The sequence below is a fragment of the Homo sapiens genome, chromosome 17 (genome assembly GCF_000001405.40).
Source record: "Homo sapiens chromosome 17, GRCh38.p14 Primary Assembly".
Lineage (NCBI taxonomy): Eukaryota > Metazoa > Chordata > Mammalia > Primates > Hominidae > Homo > Homo sapiens.
This window is the reverse complement of record NC_000017.11, coordinates 44,487,767-44,506,791: the sequence shown is the minus strand read 5'-3', so window position 1 is coordinate 44,506,791 and position 19,025 is coordinate 44,487,767. Positions and strand designations below refer to the sequence as shown.

The 19,025-nt window shown below is 42.7% G+C and overlaps 1 protein-coding gene across 6 annotated transcripts in view, besides 2 other annotated features; it reads left to right on the top strand.

Moving 5' to 3' along the window:
* Window positions 3,103-3,452: a silencer, noted in NCBI's record as "silent region_8593". NCBI's record gives its function as "represses an Ori minimal core promoter by ATAC-STARR-seq in GM12878 lymphoblastoid cells {active_cell/tissue: GM12878}" and the evidence as "EXISTENCE:reporter gene assay evidence [ECO:0000049][PMID:35858748]".
* The window catches only part of GPATCH8 (G-patch domain containing 8), a 108,126-nt gene continuing 92,486 nt past the window's right edge, over window positions 3,386-19,025 (top strand). For all 6 annotated transcript variants that reach the window (NM_001304939.2, NM_001304942.2, NM_001002909.4 and 3 more), the window contains exon 1: window positions 3,386-3,466. In NM_001304939.2, the coding sequence (NP_001291868.1) occupies window positions 3,422-3,466 (45 nt within the window). In that variant the 5' untranslated portion in view covers window positions 3,386-3,421. The remainder of the gene's footprint in view (window positions 3,467-19,025) is intronic.
* Window positions 3,553-3,652: an enhancer, noted in NCBI's record as "active region_12263". NCBI's record gives its function as "activates an Ori minimal core promoter by ATAC-STARR-seq in GM12878 lymphoblastoid cells {active_cell/tissue: GM12878}" and the evidence as "EXISTENCE:reporter gene assay evidence [ECO:0000049][PMID:35858748]".

Genomic DNA, 19,025 nt, shown 5'->3' with positions numbered 1-19,025 from the left:
TCTTGTCACCCAGGCTGGAGTGCAGTGGCGTGGCCTCAGCTCACTGCAACCTCCACCTCCTGGGATCAAGCGATTCTCCTGCCTCAGCCTCCTGAGTAGCTGGGATTACAGGTACTCACCACCACGCCTGGCTAATTTTTGTATTTTTAGTAGAGACGGAGTTTCACCATGTTGGCCAGGCTGGTCTCCAACTCCTGACCTCAAGTGATCCACCTGCCTTGGCCTCCTAAAGTGGTGGTATTATAGGCATGAGCCACCACACCCAGCCCCAAAATTTCTTTTTTTTTGAGATGGAGTCTTGCTCTGTCGCCCAATTCCCCTGCCTCAGCCTCCCGAGTAGCTGGGATTACAGGTGCACACCACCACGCCCGGCTAATTTTTTTGTATTTTTAGTAGAGACGGGGTTTCACCATGTTGGCCAGACTGGTCTCGAACTCCTGACCTCAGGCAATCCGCCTGCTTCAGCCTCAGCCTCCCAAAGTGCTGGGACTATAGGCATGAGCCACCGCGCCGGCCAAAAGTTCTTTCTTAAACTCAATATCCTTTTTTCTTTTTTGGCATCCCATGCCCCTTGATGCAGTCTCTTATTTCCTGATGTGTTCCCTTGTACCCTGATGTGATATAATGTCTCCGTGGATGTTGATAATTCTTTTGATGGTTTCTTCTGTTCCTTTCATTATCTCTGGTTCCTCTGAATTCGTTTTTTGGGGGAGGGGGGCTGTTGCTGTCATCATAGCTCACTGCAGCCTCCAAATCCTGGGCTTCAGCAATCCTCTTGCCTCAGCCTCCCAAGTAGCTGGGACCACAGGTGCATGCCACCACGCCTAGTTTTAAAGTTCTTTTGCAGAGTTGGGGTCTTACTACAATGCCCAGGCTGGGGGTGTTTCTATCTTTCCTGTTACAGGTTCCCTTCAAATGTCTGGCATTCTTTGGCTATCCATTCATAACAAGGCACTAAAAAGCTGAGTGAAAGGTCTGTGTGGATGGGGCTTCCTGAATGATGGACTTCTCTGTGGAGTATTTGGGCAGGAACATGATCTTTATGTAGGAAGACACCTCCCTACCCTCACTCCCATTGTTGGTACATGAAGCATTTTCTTCCCTAAGCTAGTCAATTTTCTAGAGAGGGTTCCTATGTTCTTTTGTTGGAGAAGTCAGACTCTCTGGCCAGAATGGAGGCTTTACCATATCCTCCCATTTTCAGCATGGTTGCTCCTTCTCACCTATAAAGTCCAGTCTCTCTGGTTCAGCCTTTCCAGAGGGAAAACCTCTAGTTTGCTACCTGGGTGGGAAAAGAGACATCGAATCATCAGTGGCACCAGGGGCTTCTACTTCCTGAGCCTTTCTGGTGCACTTTAGCATTGATCAACTTCTTTCCTGTCTTCTCCTACTCTATGACTTCTTTTTCTCCACTCTACTAAAGTCATTTCCATTTATCTGTGCTCTCTGGCCTCCAAAATGTTGACATCTGTTGTCTGCCATTGTCTCTTCTCCAGGTCTCTTTGTCCATGTGAATTTATGCACTTCTTATTCCTCTGCTGTCATTTCAGTGGGCTTTTGAGAGGAAGAAGAGGTCAGTGTGATGTGTATCCTCGTGATTCAATCTTTCACGCTACCCTTAAGTCTCTTTACAATGTTTGAGCCAGGCTCGGTGGCTCACGCCTGTAATCTCAGCACTTTGGGAGGCTGAGGCGGGCGGATCACAAGGTCAGGAGTTCCAGACCAGCCTTGCCAACATGGTGAACCCCGCCTCCACTAAAAATACAAAAAAAAAAAAAAAAAAAAAAGTCCGGGCGAGGTGGCTCACGCCTGTAATTCCAGCATTTTGGGAGGCCGAGGCAGGCGGATCACGAGGTCAGGAGATCGAGACCAGCCTGGCTAACACGGTGAAACCCCGTCTCTACTAAAAATACAAAAAATTAGCCGGGCTTGGTGGCGGGCGCCTGTAGTCCCAGCTACTCGGGAGGCTGAGGCAGGAGAATGGCGTGAACCCGGAAGGCGGAGCTTGCAGTGAGCCGAGATCGCGCCACTGCACTCCAGCCTGGGCGACAGAGTGAGACTCCTTTTCAAAAAAAAAAAAAAACAAATGAGCTGGGCTTAGTGGTGGGCGCCTGTAATCCCAGCTACTAGGGTGGCTGAGGCAGGAGAATCTCTTGAACCTGGGAGGCGGAGGTTGCAGTGAGCCGAGATTGCGCCACTGTACTCCGGCGACAGTGCGAGACTCCGTCTCAAAAAAAAAAAAAAAAAAAGAATACAATGTTTGAATTCTGTGTGCCCTGCCTCCCCTTAGATGGAAGCGTAGGCTGAAGCATGGGTGGGGCAAAGGGTAACAGCTAGAAAATACACACCCTTCCTCAAAAAATTACATTCCATTTGACTCTTTCAGGGCAGGGTAAGACCCATTTTTCCATTGTGTGATTTCTGTCAACTACTCTTTTCAAAAGGAGAGAAGTCCTGCCACCCTTCTATGTGTTTTATGTATTTTGGCTAAGAGTCCTGGAGCACTGGGTGAGGTCCTCAGAAGGGATGGAAAAATCCGATTCTTGACTCTCATAGTCAGCGCTAGGCAGGAGCATCAGAGATTACTGAATCCAATTTCCCTATTGTATAAAAAGGAAACTGAAGCCCAGAGAGCTTTAGTCGATCTGGATCAACTTCGGTCCCTTGTGAAATACTTCTCTCAAAGGATGGCTCGAAGTCAAGCTCCTTGCAGTCTTTGGGCCTTTGGGTCTAACGTTCCCTATGCCCCAATGCTGTAGGCTCCTCGCTGTGCCTCGGTCAAAGGTCCTTTCAGAGACTGTCCCTCTCAGCACTGTGGCCAGTTTTACTTTTTTGTGGCACTTGTTGATATTTAAAAATATTTATTTTACGAGTTATGTGAGTTCTTCCACTGGAATGAAATCCCCATAAGAGGAGATCATTCCTGTCTCGTTCACCGTTGAATCCTCAGGGTGAGCTGAGATTCGAAGCTAAGCAGTCTGGCTCTAAGGTCGCGCTTTCGGCCCAACATTATGCTGCTATTTAGTGAAGACGATGGACTTCTGCGCACACGGGGAAGCAACAGTGAGAAAAGACACCCGGAAGTGAGCAACAGCAAAACATCCAGATTTGTCCGCACGGTGCCCCCTCTGACCTTTCCCTCCGGAAGCTCTCGCGGCTCTCGGGCGGGAGTGCGCACGCGCGGCCACCGGGGTCGCTCCGGGTCGCGCGCGGAGCAGGGGCTAGAGGGAAGGGTCAGCCTCCAGGGCTGGCAGGCGCCTGCGCCGCGGGGCTCCCGTCAGGACGCGCATTCTCGCTCCCTCCCTCGGCTGCGCGCGCCCGGTGGGCGTGGGAGGAGGCGGGGAACCGGGGAGGGGTGGGTGTCGCAGGAGGGAAGGAGCGAACCGGAGAGCGTCGTCCTGAGAGGAGTGAAGGCGGCAAAATGGCGGACCGCTTCTCCCGCTTCAACGAAGACCGAGACTTTCAGGTAAACACGGGCGTCGCCGAGGATGCGGGGAAGGCGCTGGTCTAGCCCAGAACCTCCTTCATCTCCGGCTCCCAGCCCTCTTTCCTTCCAGTTTTGCTCCGACTTGCGAACCAGCTCGCTCTTCTCCCGTCTCTGCTTTCTCAAGAGGCCTCCCGGCTTGAGGGAGGCCGCATCTCCTCGCACCCGCATTCTCTTACCCCTGAAACTCAGGCCGCGGGGCTTGCGGCTTCCGCCTGTTTGGCATCGGATTTCGGAACCGGGCCTGAGCGCCGTGTGAGGGGCTGTGCCCTCCAGGTCTGCCCGATCTGTGCCGGCGAAGGGCTGGCTCCCAGGGGACAAGAGGGGTGGTTGGGTTGGGCTGAGAGGGCTTGGGGGAGAGTATTGCTGAGGCCAAGGCTTCCGAACCCCGGGATTTTGCTCTCACGGATCCTTTTGGGGTCCTTCTCTTTTCTTTCTTCACTGTGATAAATCAATTCCTTTCATTGTCTGCTTTTCCTCTTCCTTACCTGGGAAAAGGTTGCCTTCGCTATCAGACGCCTTATTGGTTAGTCATACATTGAGATTTCGCGGGGCATAAGTGTTGCTGTTATTAGGCTGTTAATTGGGCTTGGAAAGCAGTAAGTTACTGGACTATGATCCGATGTGAGCCTAACCTCAAATCCTATCTCGAAAGATTTGTGAGAAGCGTGATGATAATAGGCCGTCCACGCATGGGGTCACTAGTGCCAAAAGCTTGATTTTTCTTTCTTCAATTGCAAATGTTAGTATGGAAAAATGCCCTTACGATGGCAAGCTCTATTGAGTAAAAAATAAAGGCCAAATTAGAATAACTTGTTTTTTCGCTGTTGAAAATACCTTTCTGTTGAAATTGTTACCGCGGAAATCTCGAAGACTAAAAGGGATTTAGTAGAGATTGGCTATTTCTAGGTAAAATACATCCGTAGAGTCTCAAAAAAAAAAAAAAAACACTGCATTACTACCGCATATCCTGGCAACTGCAATTTGGGTCGGGATGAATCTCAGAACTCAAGTTTTTATCCCGCTGCAGATCCTACTCAAAGCAGTACGAAAGCACTCTAGATGTGTTTCAGAAGGCAGTTTAAAGAGTTTGAATTCCCTGAGATGATAGGATTGGTAAATAAATAGGTAAAGCAGTTTAACAATTTTAACTCAGCACTGTTAACAGTCTAGTACATAGAACGCTTATGAGAAGTTTTGCAGCAGTAAGGGATCTGGGGGCTGTTAAAAAGCCTTGTGATCATGCGCCTGCTGTATAGCTGCAGCACAATACAGGAGAGTCTCAGGATGTTCTAAGGATATAATGCAGATTCACCAAAGTTTGAAGCAGTTCATGTTAGCCTTTTGATCCCTGAGAAATATATATATATACACACATATATATATATTAGCAAGCACTATAAAATATGAGTTGGCTGCAAGGTGTATGAGCTTTATTGATTTTTAAATTACCGGTAGAGACATACTGATAACTAAAGCCCGCAAATGCTTTTCAGAGGAGAGAATAATCTCAAGGTGACCTAATAAAATCGAAAATAGATAATATGGACAGTTAAGTTTTGAGGGAAGATGACTGTCAACCACAGAATTCCAGCAGGCTTAGCAAACAGGATTTTCAGGGCCTTTAATGAAGATTTTGAAAATTGTGGATAGCAGAGTGTGAATGCTGTTTCCTGAAAAACATTCAGGGGGTTAGCCTGTACTTTTTCAATACTCAGTTTCCAAGTAAGATGACCCTGTCTTCTGATGCTTTAGTTGGGTATTGCAAAACCCGATTTTGGTTTCATGGTAGTCCTTTGAAGATGATACGTATACTTCATTTTCTGCTTATATGTTGAAAGAACCAACCCCTGTTAAATTGGGTCAGCCAGGAAAAATTTTTTTTTTTTTTGAAATGGAGTCTCGCTGTGTCGCCCAGGCTGGAGTGCAGTGGCACGATCTCGGCTCACTGCAACCTCTGCCTCCCGGGTTCAAGCAATTCTTCTGCCTCAGCCTCCCAAGCAGCTGGGATTACAGGCACCCGCCACCATACCCGGCTAATTTTTGTATTTTTAGTAGAGATGGGGTTTCACCGTATTGGCCAGGCTGGTCTCGAACTCCTGACTCGTGATCCGCCTGCCTCGGCCTCCCAAAGTGCTAGGATTACAGGTGTGAGCCATCGCGCCTGGCCGAAAATGTTGGTTTTTAAAATTCAGATGTCCTAGCATTTTGGGTAAATAGGGTATTGGGAATGGAAACCTTTTTAGACAGTTGTAAGATGTTAAAACTTTTATAAATTATGTTAACATTTCTAAAGTACATTCATTGAAAAATAAAGTGGTATTTTTCTAGATGTTTTAATAAAGGGAAAATACAGATTGACTTTCATTTAATGATGTATTTTGATTCAAAATTATTGGTGAGAGAATGTAATGTAATAGGATTCTCCTGTGAATAATGTATCTGAAACATTTTCAGCTTCAGGTTATTCAAAATTAAACGTGGCCTCCTTTTAAGGTTTTGGGTGAAGCCACTGACTATACTTGAAAACAAGTCATAGTAGGTTTCCAAACACAGTGGATAGATCTTGTTGCTTTCAACAGATCTTGTAGCACTGGAAATTGTTCATCTTCTCTGGTAAGTTCGAGATGACTTATTTTCTTTGCCTTTAATTTAGCAGGATGATTTAAAGTTGTAGAACTTCACTCTTTACCGGTTTATCAAGTGCAAATTTTGGAGAGTTTGATGTCTCTTGAAATTATTATGGAGTGAGGGAGTTGGGCTATTAAAATTTGTGAATACCTAAAGTTGCGAAGGTATTTTGTATATATAGTGAAAAGTTATAGTTAACAGTGGTATGCCACTTGAAGCACTCATGTATATAGAGATTAATAATTATCAGGGACCTAACTTTTTTTAATTGGTAACTTTATTATAATAACAAACAGGTCCTATTCCACAGGCTTTATGTGTCTTATCTCATAGTCTTCACTATAACCCTACGAGGTAGGTACTGTTATTACTGCCGTTTTCAGCTGAGGCACAGAGAATTAAGTAACTTAGCCAATTACATACATCTGTTAAATGGCAGAGCCTAAATTCATACTGGCTTTTGGATTCTTGTACTTGTCCTCATGACCATTCTGTCTGCTGCTGACAATTATACATTTTATGTAGCTGTAATTGGGTCATCAAATGTGGAGGATAGACTTATAGGTGACAAAGAATAAGGGAGCTTTTAGAAAGGTGATACAGTTCCAGTTTTTATTTTGTTTGGTTTTGTCCAGATCTGTCTCTTTCTGGTCTCCCAACGGCTTCTAGGGAGGCTTTCAACAATGATAAATTACATTGTGTCATAGAGGATATATTGTTACCTGTTTTAGTTTAGACATTCTTTTGTCTAGCCTTTTAAGTGTTTTTTTTTTTTTTAATCTTTGGAAATCTTTGTAATCTAAGCTGATGTATTTATTTTTACAAATGTTTTAAGAGTTTTAACTACTCCTTTAAGAATCTGGCCTCAATTTCTGAATGAGATATTACTTCTGCCAGCATTTACCAGATTAAGATATATTTGTTCCCAAATTGAAGTGTTACACAAACTAATGGAAAATGTATAACTTAAGATAATCAACACTTTGGATTACAGGTTCATTAAAGAAAGTTTTGTTTGTACAGTGATGTACAGCTAGCTATACGGTGCCATTAAGAAACAGTGCTTAGCATTTTATGGTTGCGCAGCTATTATTGGTGATGCAGCTGAATGCTGGTGAGGAAATGTTCTTTAGTATATGTACCTGCAGAGGACTGATGATTCGTGTTCCGAGTGTTCTCTGCATTTTATTTATTTATTTATTTTTTTGAGATGGAGTTTCGCTCTTGTTGCCCACCTGGAGTGCAATGGCACCATCTTGGCTCACCTCAACCTCCGCCTCCCGGGTTCAAGTGATTCTCCTGCCTCAGCCTCCCGAGTAGCTGGGATTTCAGGCATGTCCCACCATGTCCAGCTAATTTTTTTGTATTTTTTAGTAGAGACGGGGTTTCACCCTGTTGGTCAGGCTGGTCTCAAACTCCCGACCTCAGGTGATCCACCCACCTCGGTCTCCCAAAGTGCTGGGATTACAGGCTTGAGCCACCGCGCCTGGCCCTCTGCATTTTATTTCTAATGAAAAGGAACTACAGTAATAGATCAGTGAGTGATAAGTTGATAAGAGAAACAAGACATGCTATGTTAAAGGTCGTAATAAAAATACAGAAATTGCCCAAGAACTTTCTGTAATCTATGTAAGTAATCATAATGGTAAATAGCAATAAGCTAGTCATGTATTACATTTATGCAGTATGTTTGTAGGAATCCTCTTTGTGTTTCCATATGTAACCAGTATGTGACCCTTAGGAAATTCTTAGTTGAGACTATTAAGTGAAGAGGTTCATAGTTTTAAGATATTTAAGTCACAGAAGCATATTAGTGTATTTTCTGTATGTAATATAGTTGGCATTGTAATTCAGGTATGCCAGATATGACACATGGACAAGTGTTTTAAATCGTTTTTCCTATGTCTCGCTCCCGTAATCTGGAAGAAATGCCACAAGCTGTGAAAATTAATGTCAGTTTGGCTTGGGATACTGAAATTTATACAAAATCATTACTCTTCCCTGTCTCATAGTATGATAAGTGAAAAGGATTAGAATCAGGGCTGTACCAGTTTCAAAATACTGATGCTGAATTGACATGATTGTTAGCAAATGCAAAATGATATTGACATTGGTTAATACATTCTTAGGAGATCGAGAGTGACCAAAGTAAAGTCAGCATAAGAGAAGTTTCCCTGGAGGTGATTTGAAGGGTAAATGGTATATAATCACTTTTCAAATGTGGGACATATCAAGGACATCTCAACATCACAGAGAGAGACTTAAGTTGTAATTAGGAAAGATTGGGGTTGGGAAGAACTGTGATCAGAGGACTTCATGTGATGATGTATATTATTTGTTTTCAAAGTAGGCATGGGAGGCAGGAAGAAACAGATCTGGACAAATAGAGTATTATGCCGAGTATTATTTCAGGGCTCTTACAATACAGTCAAAATGATAGAAAAACAGGTACTCCTGTTGTACCTTTCCCTTTCTTCTATACATGTAACACAGTTCTCATTAGAGTACTGCAAAGGGATTCTTTCATCACAGTTTCTCATGTCTTTATGATAAATTGTATAACCAAAGCTAAAATTTGTGACTTAAAAATATTTCAAGATACATATGTAATAAGCTATCCTGATTGTGCTGCTTCATAATTGAGATACATTTCCATGTGATTTCTGTCTATCTGGGTACATGATAAAAATTTTTAAAAGGACAGTCTGTTTTTCTTTTCTTTTTTTCTTTTTTTTTTGGAGACAGTGTCTGGCTCTTTTGTCCAGGCTAGAGTACAGTTGTGGGATCTTGGCTCATGCAGTCTCCACCTCCTGGGCTCAAGCAATCCTCCCGCTTCAGCCTCCCAAGTAGCTGGGACTACAGGAATGTACCACCATGACTGGCTAAGTTTTGTACTTTTTTTAGAGACGGGGTTTCAACTTGTTGCCCAGGCTGGTCTTGAACTCCTGGGCTCAAGCGATCCTCCCACCTCAGCCCCCCAAAGTGCTGGGATTACAGGCATGCACCACTGCACCCAGCTGACAGTCTGTTTTTTTGATGTGGTCAAGACTTTTTTAAATTTAATTTTTTTAAATAAAAAATTCGTTTTTGAGACAAGGTCTCACTCTGTCACTCAGGCTGGAGTGCAGTGACGCGATCATGGCTCCTGGCAGCCTTGACCTCCCAGCTTCAAGTGATCCTCCCACCTCAGCCTCCTGAGTACCTGGGGCTACAGGTGTGTCACCAAGCCCTGCTAATTTTTTTCATTTTTGTAGAGATGGGGTTTCTCCATGTTGCCCAGGCTGGTCTCAAACTCCTGAGCTCAAGCTATCCTCCCACCTCGGCCCCTCAAAGTGTTGAGATTACAGGCATGTGCCACTGTACCTGGCCAAGATTGCCATTTTCTGAAAGCGTAGCAGAAGTTCATGAGATCTTAATTATGAATCAGAAACCTATGTAAAGTTTTCATTTTTGCTCTTGTGACTTAGTTTCTAGTATTTTATTAATGAAAATGGTTTCTAGCTTGAAGTAGATAGATTCCAGTTCGTGAGTTCTATTAAAATTCCTTCCCTGAAACAACTTGGTACTTTTGCTTGTAAGTCTGGCATTAATTTTCTTTTCATATTAGCATTACCATTTAGCATTAAGTGAAAGCAGATTCATGGTAATTACCAAAGGAATTACAGATGACCACCACAAATACTGAAAGAAGTCATTGATTTGATATTGCAGTGAATACCAGAAGATGTTGTAATAATTTTCCACTTATAAAAAGTGAATTGTCCATTTAACTCTGGAGGTCTAAGCAAATGTGCTTAATGCATATCGTATTAGTCAATGCAAAAAGTTAAATATGCCCAGGCTGAAAGAAGGTGTATAATGTATGGTCGTTCTTATACCAAATGATTTCTTTGGAATTTAAACAAATATGTTTAGTATTTTATTCCTAATTTAGGAAGAAAAAGCAACTAAAGTTGTTCTGACATTGTACACAGATGAGTAGCACGTAACTGTTATTTAGTAAGCCCCATAGATAGTAAGGAATAAAAGTTGTTAGTGAGCAAAACAGGAGTATCCTGCCATTTGCTTTAATTCTTCTTGTGATAGTTTTGAGGTACAATAATTCCTGTGTGCGTGTCACTCAAGCAACCAGAAAGTGTCTTTGTAATACGCATTTGGTCTCATCTCATGAAGTTCCAGTTGTTTGTTGTCATCCTTGTGACTCTTTGGTAATTACATTGATTTCAAAGAGGAATTCTAATTCATCTTACTGTTTCATAGAATTGAGACACAAAATAGCTTTACAGGTTTAAAGTTGTAATAGAAAAAAGTCATAGAGTTTTCTGACATTTTAATAATGACATTGTTGGAAAAGTCAGTACCTGTCTTATAGCCCCCATAACATTATTCTTCCAGAGTTAATAAGAAAAGAGGAGCTTACTTTTTCATCATTTTTGTAGGCAGTGCTGATCAAAATCAAGAAATTATTTTGATACTGTAGGTCTTGACTATAGAAGAAGTAAAGGTAGGCTGGGCGCGGTGGCTCACGCCTATAATCCCGGCATTTTGGGAGGCTGAGGGCAGGTGGATCACACGGGGTCAGGAGTTCGAGACCAGCCTGGCCAACATGGTGAAAACCCATCTCTACTAAAAATACAAAAAATTAGTTGGGTGTGGTGGTGCGCTCCTGTAGTCCCAGCTACTCAGGAGGCTGGGGCAGGAGAATCTCTTGAACCTGGGAGGTGGAGGTTGCAGTGAGCCGATACTGTGCCATTGCACTCCAGCCTGGGTAACAGAGTGAGACTCCATCTCAAAACCAAACAAAACAAAAAAAGAAATTAAAGCTAATGCTTGTGGATTGTATGCTGTAGTGTCAGTAATTTCCCTTGTTGCTATGAATAGAGCTATGAGTGAAATTATGAGGTATCTTTAAAGAAAGGGCAAAAGTGGTTGAAAATTTAATTGGTTTAATATTGTACTAGGGTATCATCTGTGCGAGCAATAACAAGGGGTATATTTACCTTTAGAATAGTTTCTAGAATATAGACTAATTTTTGAAAACTTAATTAAATAAAACAGTGTTTGAATAGTGGTTGTACGAAGAAGTACGTATTGTAGTGTAAGTATTTCTGTGCGGGTAGTTTGTTAAGAAGTGTTTTTGTTTTCAAGGAGTTTTCATTTTAGTTGGAGAGATAACATAAGTAGTAAGGTTTAGTTTATTATTCATAAGACCAGCATGATTATCAGAAAAACCAGCATGATTATCAGAAAAACAGTATAGCTAATAAATGCATAACTCTAAGTAAAGGAGAGAATCCTTAAAGTGGGATGATTGGACATGCTTTTATTTTATTTTATTTTTTTCAGACAGAGTCTTGCTCTGTTGCCCAGGCTAGAATGCAGTGGCATGATCTCAGCTCACTGCAACCTCCACCTCCTGGGTTCAAGCAATTCTCGTGGCTCAGCCTCACGAGTAACTGGGATTACAGGTGCCCACTACCACGCCTGGCTAATTTTTGTATTTTTAGTAGAGATGGGGTTTCATCATGTAGGTCAGGCTGGTCTTGAACTCCCACCTCCAGTGATCTGCCCGCCTTGGCCTCCCAATGTGCTGGGATTACAGGTGTGAGCCACCGTGTTGGCCTGGGCATGCTTTTATGAAGAAGTTAGCATTTAAGCTGGATCTTGAAGGATGGGATTGCATCCTTCAAGTGAATGGAAGTACACTCAGTTGGAAAAAATAGCCAGGACAAAAGTAAAGAAGTGGAACAAACAGAATTTGTTTTTTTAGGACAATGAATTAATGATTGGGCATAGGGAAAAAGTGAAGACTAGGGCTGCAAAGATAAATTTTATTTTAATGCTGTAAGCAGGCATGCACTAGCTATTTAAGGTTCTTAAGCTGAGGGATAGACAGTCAAAGCCCTCTTTCTTATAGGAAGATTAATTCAGCTATAGTTTGTTAGATGTGCTATACCCATATAGTTAAAGTGCTGATAACCAGTCTCTCTTAACCAGAGTTAATGTGAATAGGAGCAAAGGAGTAGAGGGTGTATACGAGGAGTGATTACAATAATGGACCATGTGATTTCTTTCTTTTATTTTGAGGTGAAGTTTCGCTCTCATTGCCCAGGCTGGAGTGCAATGGTGCAGTCTTGGCTCACTGCAACCTCTGCCTCGCGGGTTCAAATGATTCTCCTGCCTCAGCCTCCCAAGTAGCTGGGATTACAGGTGCATGCCAACATGCCCGGCTAATTTTTGTATTTTTAATAGGGACAGGGTTTCACTATGTTGGCCAGGCTGGTCGCGAACTCCTGACCTCAGGTAATCCACCCACCTCGGCCTCCCAAAGTGCTGGGATTACGGGTGTGAGCCACCGTGCCCGGCCGGACCATGTGATTTTAAGCGTGGTAAGGAGATGAATGAGGACTTCTGGGAGTGGGGGTGGTGGCAGCAATGTAGGTAGTGAGAGGGTGAAAAATTGGTAGGATCAATGGATTGTAGATTCTGATGGGGTTTAAGACTTGTTAGAGTGGGAGTACTGTAGGGAATGAGCTAGAAAGGTAGAAGGTGGTGGTCGTAGAACACAATGTTTGAAATAGGGTTTATATTAATAGAAGGGTTGAGATTATTGTTAATGAACATGAGAGTACATCATTAAGGCAGAATGGAGAGCAAGATCATTGTAGGAAAGGAAGTTAAGGAACTGAGGCACCAGGATGTTACAAAGATAATCTGACCTGGTTATGAGAATGGTAATATGGTATAGTTGTATACTGTCATGGTTTAATAAATGCCTCTTATATAATGTTCTTTTCTGGTTCTTCTAATAATTCAGTGAAGTAAATAGAAGAGGTACTAATCCTATTTTGAAGATGAAGAAACTGAGGCCCAGATAAATTATTTTGCCTAGTGCAGAACTGAAGTTTGAACTTTGCTCTTTTGACTTCTTTTGTTCTTTCCTTTTTAAATAAAAGAGACGGAATTTTGTTACATTGCCCAGGCTGGACTTGAACTCCTGGGCTCACACCATCCTCCCACCTCTGCCTCCCTAGTAGCTGAGACTACAGGTGCACGCCATCGAGCCTGGCTGATTTCTTGTATAGTATTCTGTTTATTGTGGTATATAGATTGGCCTCTCTTCAAGGTATATGTACTGTGGTATATAGATTGTGGTATGTAAAGTGTTGGTATTATCTCCAGTATGCAAAACATTGTACTTCTTTAATACATGGCAGCATTTTGTACCAGTTAATAAACTGGTAGAAAATAGTTGGTATGCTTATTAAAGATTATAATTTTTGTTTCAGAACATCTCAGTATTAAAAACCAATAGTTGTCAGGCGTGGGGGCTCGTGCCTGTAATCCCAGCACTTTGGGAGGCCAAGGTGGGTGGATAACCTGAGTTCAGGAGTTTGTGACCAGCCTGGCCAACATGGCAAAACCCTGTCTTTACTAAGAATACAAAAATTAGCTGAGCATAGTGGTGCATGCCTGTAGTCCCACCTACTGCGGAGGGGAGGCTGCTGAGGCAGGAGAATTGCATGAACCCAGGAGGCAGAGGTTGTTGTGAGTCAGGATTCTGCCACTCACTCTAGCCTGGGTGACAGAATGAGACTCTGTCTTAAAAAAAAAAAAAAAAACCTAATGGCTTACCACCATTGGTTTAATTGGTTATAAACCAGTGGTTTAATTGGTCATTTATGACTTCTTGCTTGTCTTTTCACTGTCTGTGGGTCTAGCAGATAATCCCATTCCATTTTCCAAACATTAGTGAGTACCTGATTGTTATCGTGGCATCATAAAAGGATAAGAAAACAAGACAAAATTCCATTTTGTTCATTTGTTCCAGTAAAATAATAGATTGGAGAGGAGAATGGTATTTCTACTGGATACTCTCAAGTTAGGGTTCTACAAGCTTATCCTTGACCATTACACCTTTATAAAAGTTGACTACTGTGATATATGGTGAGGGTAGTATCAGCTACTGTTTGTTGCCAGCTATATTACATGTCAGGTCTGGTGCAAAGACATTTCGAAGATATTTATCTAATCCAAGTAACTCTCCAAACTAGGTGGTGGTATCTCCCCCTCTTTTTTTTTTGTCCTTAGTTTTTTATTTTTTTGAGGCGAAGTCTTGCTCTGTCGCCCAGGCTGGATTGTAGTGACTACATCTCGGCTCACTGCAAGCTCCGCCTCCCAGGTTCACGCCATTCTCCTGCCTCAGCCTTCCGAGTAGCTGGGACTACAGGAGCCCACCACCACGCCTGGCTAATTTTTTTTTGGTAGAGACAGGGTTTCACTGTGTTAGCCAGGATGGTCTCAATCTCCTGACCTTGTGATCCTCCCGCCTCGGCCTCCCAAAGTGCTGGGGTTACGGGCGCTTTTTTTTTTTTTTTTGAGACGTCTCACTCTGTCACCCAGGCTGGAGTGCAGTGGAGCCATCTCAGCTCACTGCAAGCTCCGCCTCCCAGGTTCTCGCCATTCTCCTGCCTCAGCCTCCCGAGTAGCTGGGACTACAGGTGCCCGCCACCACGCCTGGCTAATTTTTTGTATTTTTAGTAGAGATGGGGTTTCACCATGTTGGCCAGGCTGGTCTTGAACTCTTGACCTCAGGTGATCCACCCACCTCAGCCTCCTAAATTGCTGGGATTACAGGCATGAGCCACCACGTCTGGCTGTAAATTGAAATAAATTTTAAGTATACTAGTGAAATGACACTAATAATCCCCAGGATGTCCATTTCTTTTTGGATAGGCTTTTTCTCCTGGGACATTTTCTTTTTAAATTCCATTTTTAAAGGCACATACATACATTTATTTATTGAGACAGGATTTCATTGTACTTCCAAACACAGGACGAATGTGGAAATTTGCCCAGGAAATTTGCGATCACTGCTTACTGCACTCTTGACCTCTTGGACTCAGGCAATCCTCCCATTGCAGCCTCCCGAGTAGCTGGGACTACAGGTGTGTACCACCACATTCAGTTAATTTAATTTTTTGTATTTTTTGTAGGGATGGAGTCTTCTTTTGTGGCCCAAGCAGGTCTTGAACTCCTTGCCTCTAGTGATCTTCCTGCCTTCCAAAGTGCTAGGATTACAAGTATAAGCCACCATGCCCAGCCAATATCCACCAACTTTGAGTAATATTATTCATTTAAAAATGTTTTTCAAAGAAGTTGTAAGAATTTTTTTTTTTTTTTTTTTTTTGAGACGGAGTCTCGCTCTGTCACCAGGCTGGAGTGCAGTGGCGCAATCTCGGCTCACTGCAGTCTCTGCCTCCCAGATTCAAGTCGTTCTCTGCTTCAGCCTCCCAAGCAGCTGGGATTACAGGTGACCACCACCACACTTGGCTGATTTTTGTGTTTTTAGTAGAGACAGGGTTTCACCATCTTGGCTAGGCTGGTCTTGAACTCCTGACCTTGTGATCCACCTGCCTTGGCCTCCCAAAGTGCTGGGATTACCGGCATGAGCCACCGTGCCTGACTGAAGTTGTATTAAATTTTAATAGTTATAGGAAGAGGGAAGAGGCTAAGAACATCTCTCTAGAGTTTCGTATTGTGTTTTGCTTTTTGAGATTATAGGCTCTTGATTGTGATCTTTGACTTGTCCTAATAATTCCTTCTTCTCCAGCTCTAATTTGTCTCTACTAATTTCTACATAGTTTAATCACATAAAGGATACAGCTGTGGGATTATGTAGACGTCAGAATCAGCACCAGTTAGCAAATAATAAGATTTCATTTATCTGGATAAATTTAAGGCAATTCCTGTCTTTATTGATACTTAAATGATCACCACAACCAAATTTGTAAGAGAGAAGTTTCCACATTTGTCCTGTGTTTGGAAGTAGAATCCTTGACTTGTAAGGAACTAGAGCTACTGTGTATTTTAATAACATGCAGAGCAGGTCAGCCAGGTTGTATTCATTTGCCATTAGATCTGCCACAAGTTGAAGTTTTTTTTGAGAGTGGAGGCAGTTGAAGGAAAGTCAGTTGGGTGTATGCATATAATTTAAAATCTAATACTTTTTTTTTTTTTTTAGAAAAGCTAGATTGCTTCCAGTCTGACCCTTTTGAACTTAAATTCCTGATCAGCATAAATGAAAAACTATATTTCAACTTTGAAAGCATATAGTATTCAGAAAGGAAGTGTTGATTTAGATAATGAAATAAGTGTTCCAAGCAGTCATCATTTTTTTAAATTTAAATTTTATTTTTTACCTCCCTCAGCTCATACCTACAAGCAGTCATTAAAACTAAATTTTAGGAATGCTGTAATATAGGACCTATGAATTTTTATTAGGATAACCATGAGTTTTAGTTTATACCTTTTGTCTTGGAATAATTACTGTTAGCATCTTTTGTTTTTTCTTTTTTTGTTTTTTTCTAAGACAAGGTCTTGCTCTGTTACCCAGGCTGGACTGAAGTGACAAGATCATAGCTTACTGCAGCCTCCAACTCCTGGACTCAAGGGATCCTCCCCACTCAGGCTCTTGAATAGCTGAGACTACAGGTGCACACCATCATTAAAAAAAATTTTTACAAAAATTAAAAAAAATTTGTAAAGATAGGGTGTCCCTGTGTTTCCCCAGCTGGTCTTGAACTCCTGGGCTCAAGAGATCCACTTGGCTTCCCAAAGTGCTGGGATTATAGGTGTGAGCCACTGCACCCAGCCTTACCCCCCATTTTATTCTCGAAGTGGTTTGTATGATATATGATCATCTAGATCTAAAGGAATTTCAGAGATCTAAGTGAGGTTTTGAAGGGAAGGTACAGCAGCAAAAAATACCTTTCAGATCCTGTTGAGGCCTTCAGATAATCAGACGCCATACTGAATGTTTTTAGAAAGAATGATCCTGATAAGTCTAAGTTTGTCAGAATGACTCAATTTTGGTGGGGAGGTGGGTTAGGAGGCAAGAAATAAAATATCACCACTACTATCATTGTCATCATTACTACTACTATTATTATAGTTGTGCCCTTGGGGTTTGAAATCACATTTTTCCTCCTTCCTCTTTTTGTTTTTCTAGTATAACATTCAAAAGGGACAAAAGGCAGCTGGGGGCGGTGGCTCACGCCTGTAATCCCAGCCCTTTGGGAGGCCGAGGCGGGCGGATCACCTGAGGTCGGGAGTTCAAGACCAGCCTGGCCAACATGGTGAAATCCCGTCTCTACTAAAATACAAAAATTAGCCAGGCATGATGGCGGGTGCCTGTAATCCCAACTACTTGGGAGGCTAAGGTGGGAGAATTGCTTGAACCCAGGAGGGGTAGGTTGCAGTGAGCCAAGATGGCACCATTGCATTCCAGCCTGGGTGACAGAGACTCCATCTCAAAAAAAAAAAACAAAAAAGAGGGGGTGGGGACAAAAGGATTCAGAGTGAAAAGAAAACCACTTAGTTAACCTTCCCAAAGACAACCCCACTATTTCCAATTGCATGGTGGTTCTTTCACAGAGTGCTTAGTATATTATCCATATACTAAGCATTATGCACTCTTAACTTTCCCAAAGGGTAGCATGCAAGCACATTTTCTAGCAGTTTGATTTTTTCCTCTTAATTGTATGTCCTGGAGATTATTCCATAACTGGAAGGTTTTTTGTTTTACTTTTTGTTTGTTTTTGTTTTTGTTTTTTTTGAGATGGGAGTCTCACTCTGTCCCTCAGACTGGAGTGCAATGGGGCAATCTTGGCTCACTGCAACCTCTGCCTCCCGGGTTCAAGCAGTTTGATTACAGGCACCCGCCATCATGCCCAGCTAATTTTTTTATTTTTGTAGAGATGGGGTTTCACCATGTTGGCCAGGCTGGTCATGAACTCCTGACCTCAGGTGATCCACCCGCCTCGGCCTCATGAAGTGCTGGGATTACAGGCATGAGCCACCGTGCCTGGCCTGTTTTTTGTTTTATTTTAAAGTAATTTTAGATTTGTAGAATAGTTACAAAAATAGTACAAGAGAATTTTGGTATACCACTCACTATATTCCCTACTACAGTATCCATACACTAACTATAATACAATTATCATGGGCCATGTGTGGTGGCTCACACCTGTAATCCCAGCACTTTGGGAGGCCGAGGCAGGCAGATCACCTGAGGTCAGGAGTTCGAGACCAGTCTGGCCAACATGGTGAAACCCCGTCTCTATTAAAAATACAAAAAGTTAGCTACGCTTGGTGGCACGCACCTGTAATCCCAGGCTACTTGGGAGGCTGAGGCAGGAGAATTGCTTGAACCCAGGGGGCGAAGGTTGCAGTGAGCCGAGATCATGCCACTGCACGCCAGCCTGGGTGACAGAGCAAGACTCCATCTCAAAAAAATAAATAAAATAAAATAAATTGGTCTGGCGTGGTGGTGCACACCTGTAGTCCCAGCTACTCAGGAAGTAGAAGATGCAGTGAGCTGAGATTGCGCCACAACACTCCAGCCTGGGCGACAGAGTGAGACTCTGTCTTAAAAAAAAAAAAAAAAAAAAAGGGTCAGGCACGGTGGCTCATGCCTGTAATCCCAGCACTCTGGGAGGCCGAGGCAGGTGGATCACGAGGTCAGGAGATTGAGACCATCCTGGCTAACATGGTGAAACCCCTTCTCTACTGAAAATACAAAAAATTAGCCCGGATGTGGTGGCGCACTCCTGTAGTCCCAGCTACTTGGGAGGCTGAGGCAGGAGAATCGCTTGAACCCAGGAGGCGGAGGTTGCAGTGAGCTGAGATCGCGCCACTGCACTCCAGCCTGGGTAACAGAGCGAGACTCCGTCTCAAAAAAAAAAAAAAAAAAGCTAATTGGTTTCTTTAACGTTAACACAAAAACATAAACACCATCAACTCCCTCATATTTTGCTGTAAAAATAAAATATTAACAGCAATCACTAATCCCTGGTAGTGAAGCACAAAACATTTTCCACCTACCCCCAACATAAATGTAGTCTCATCA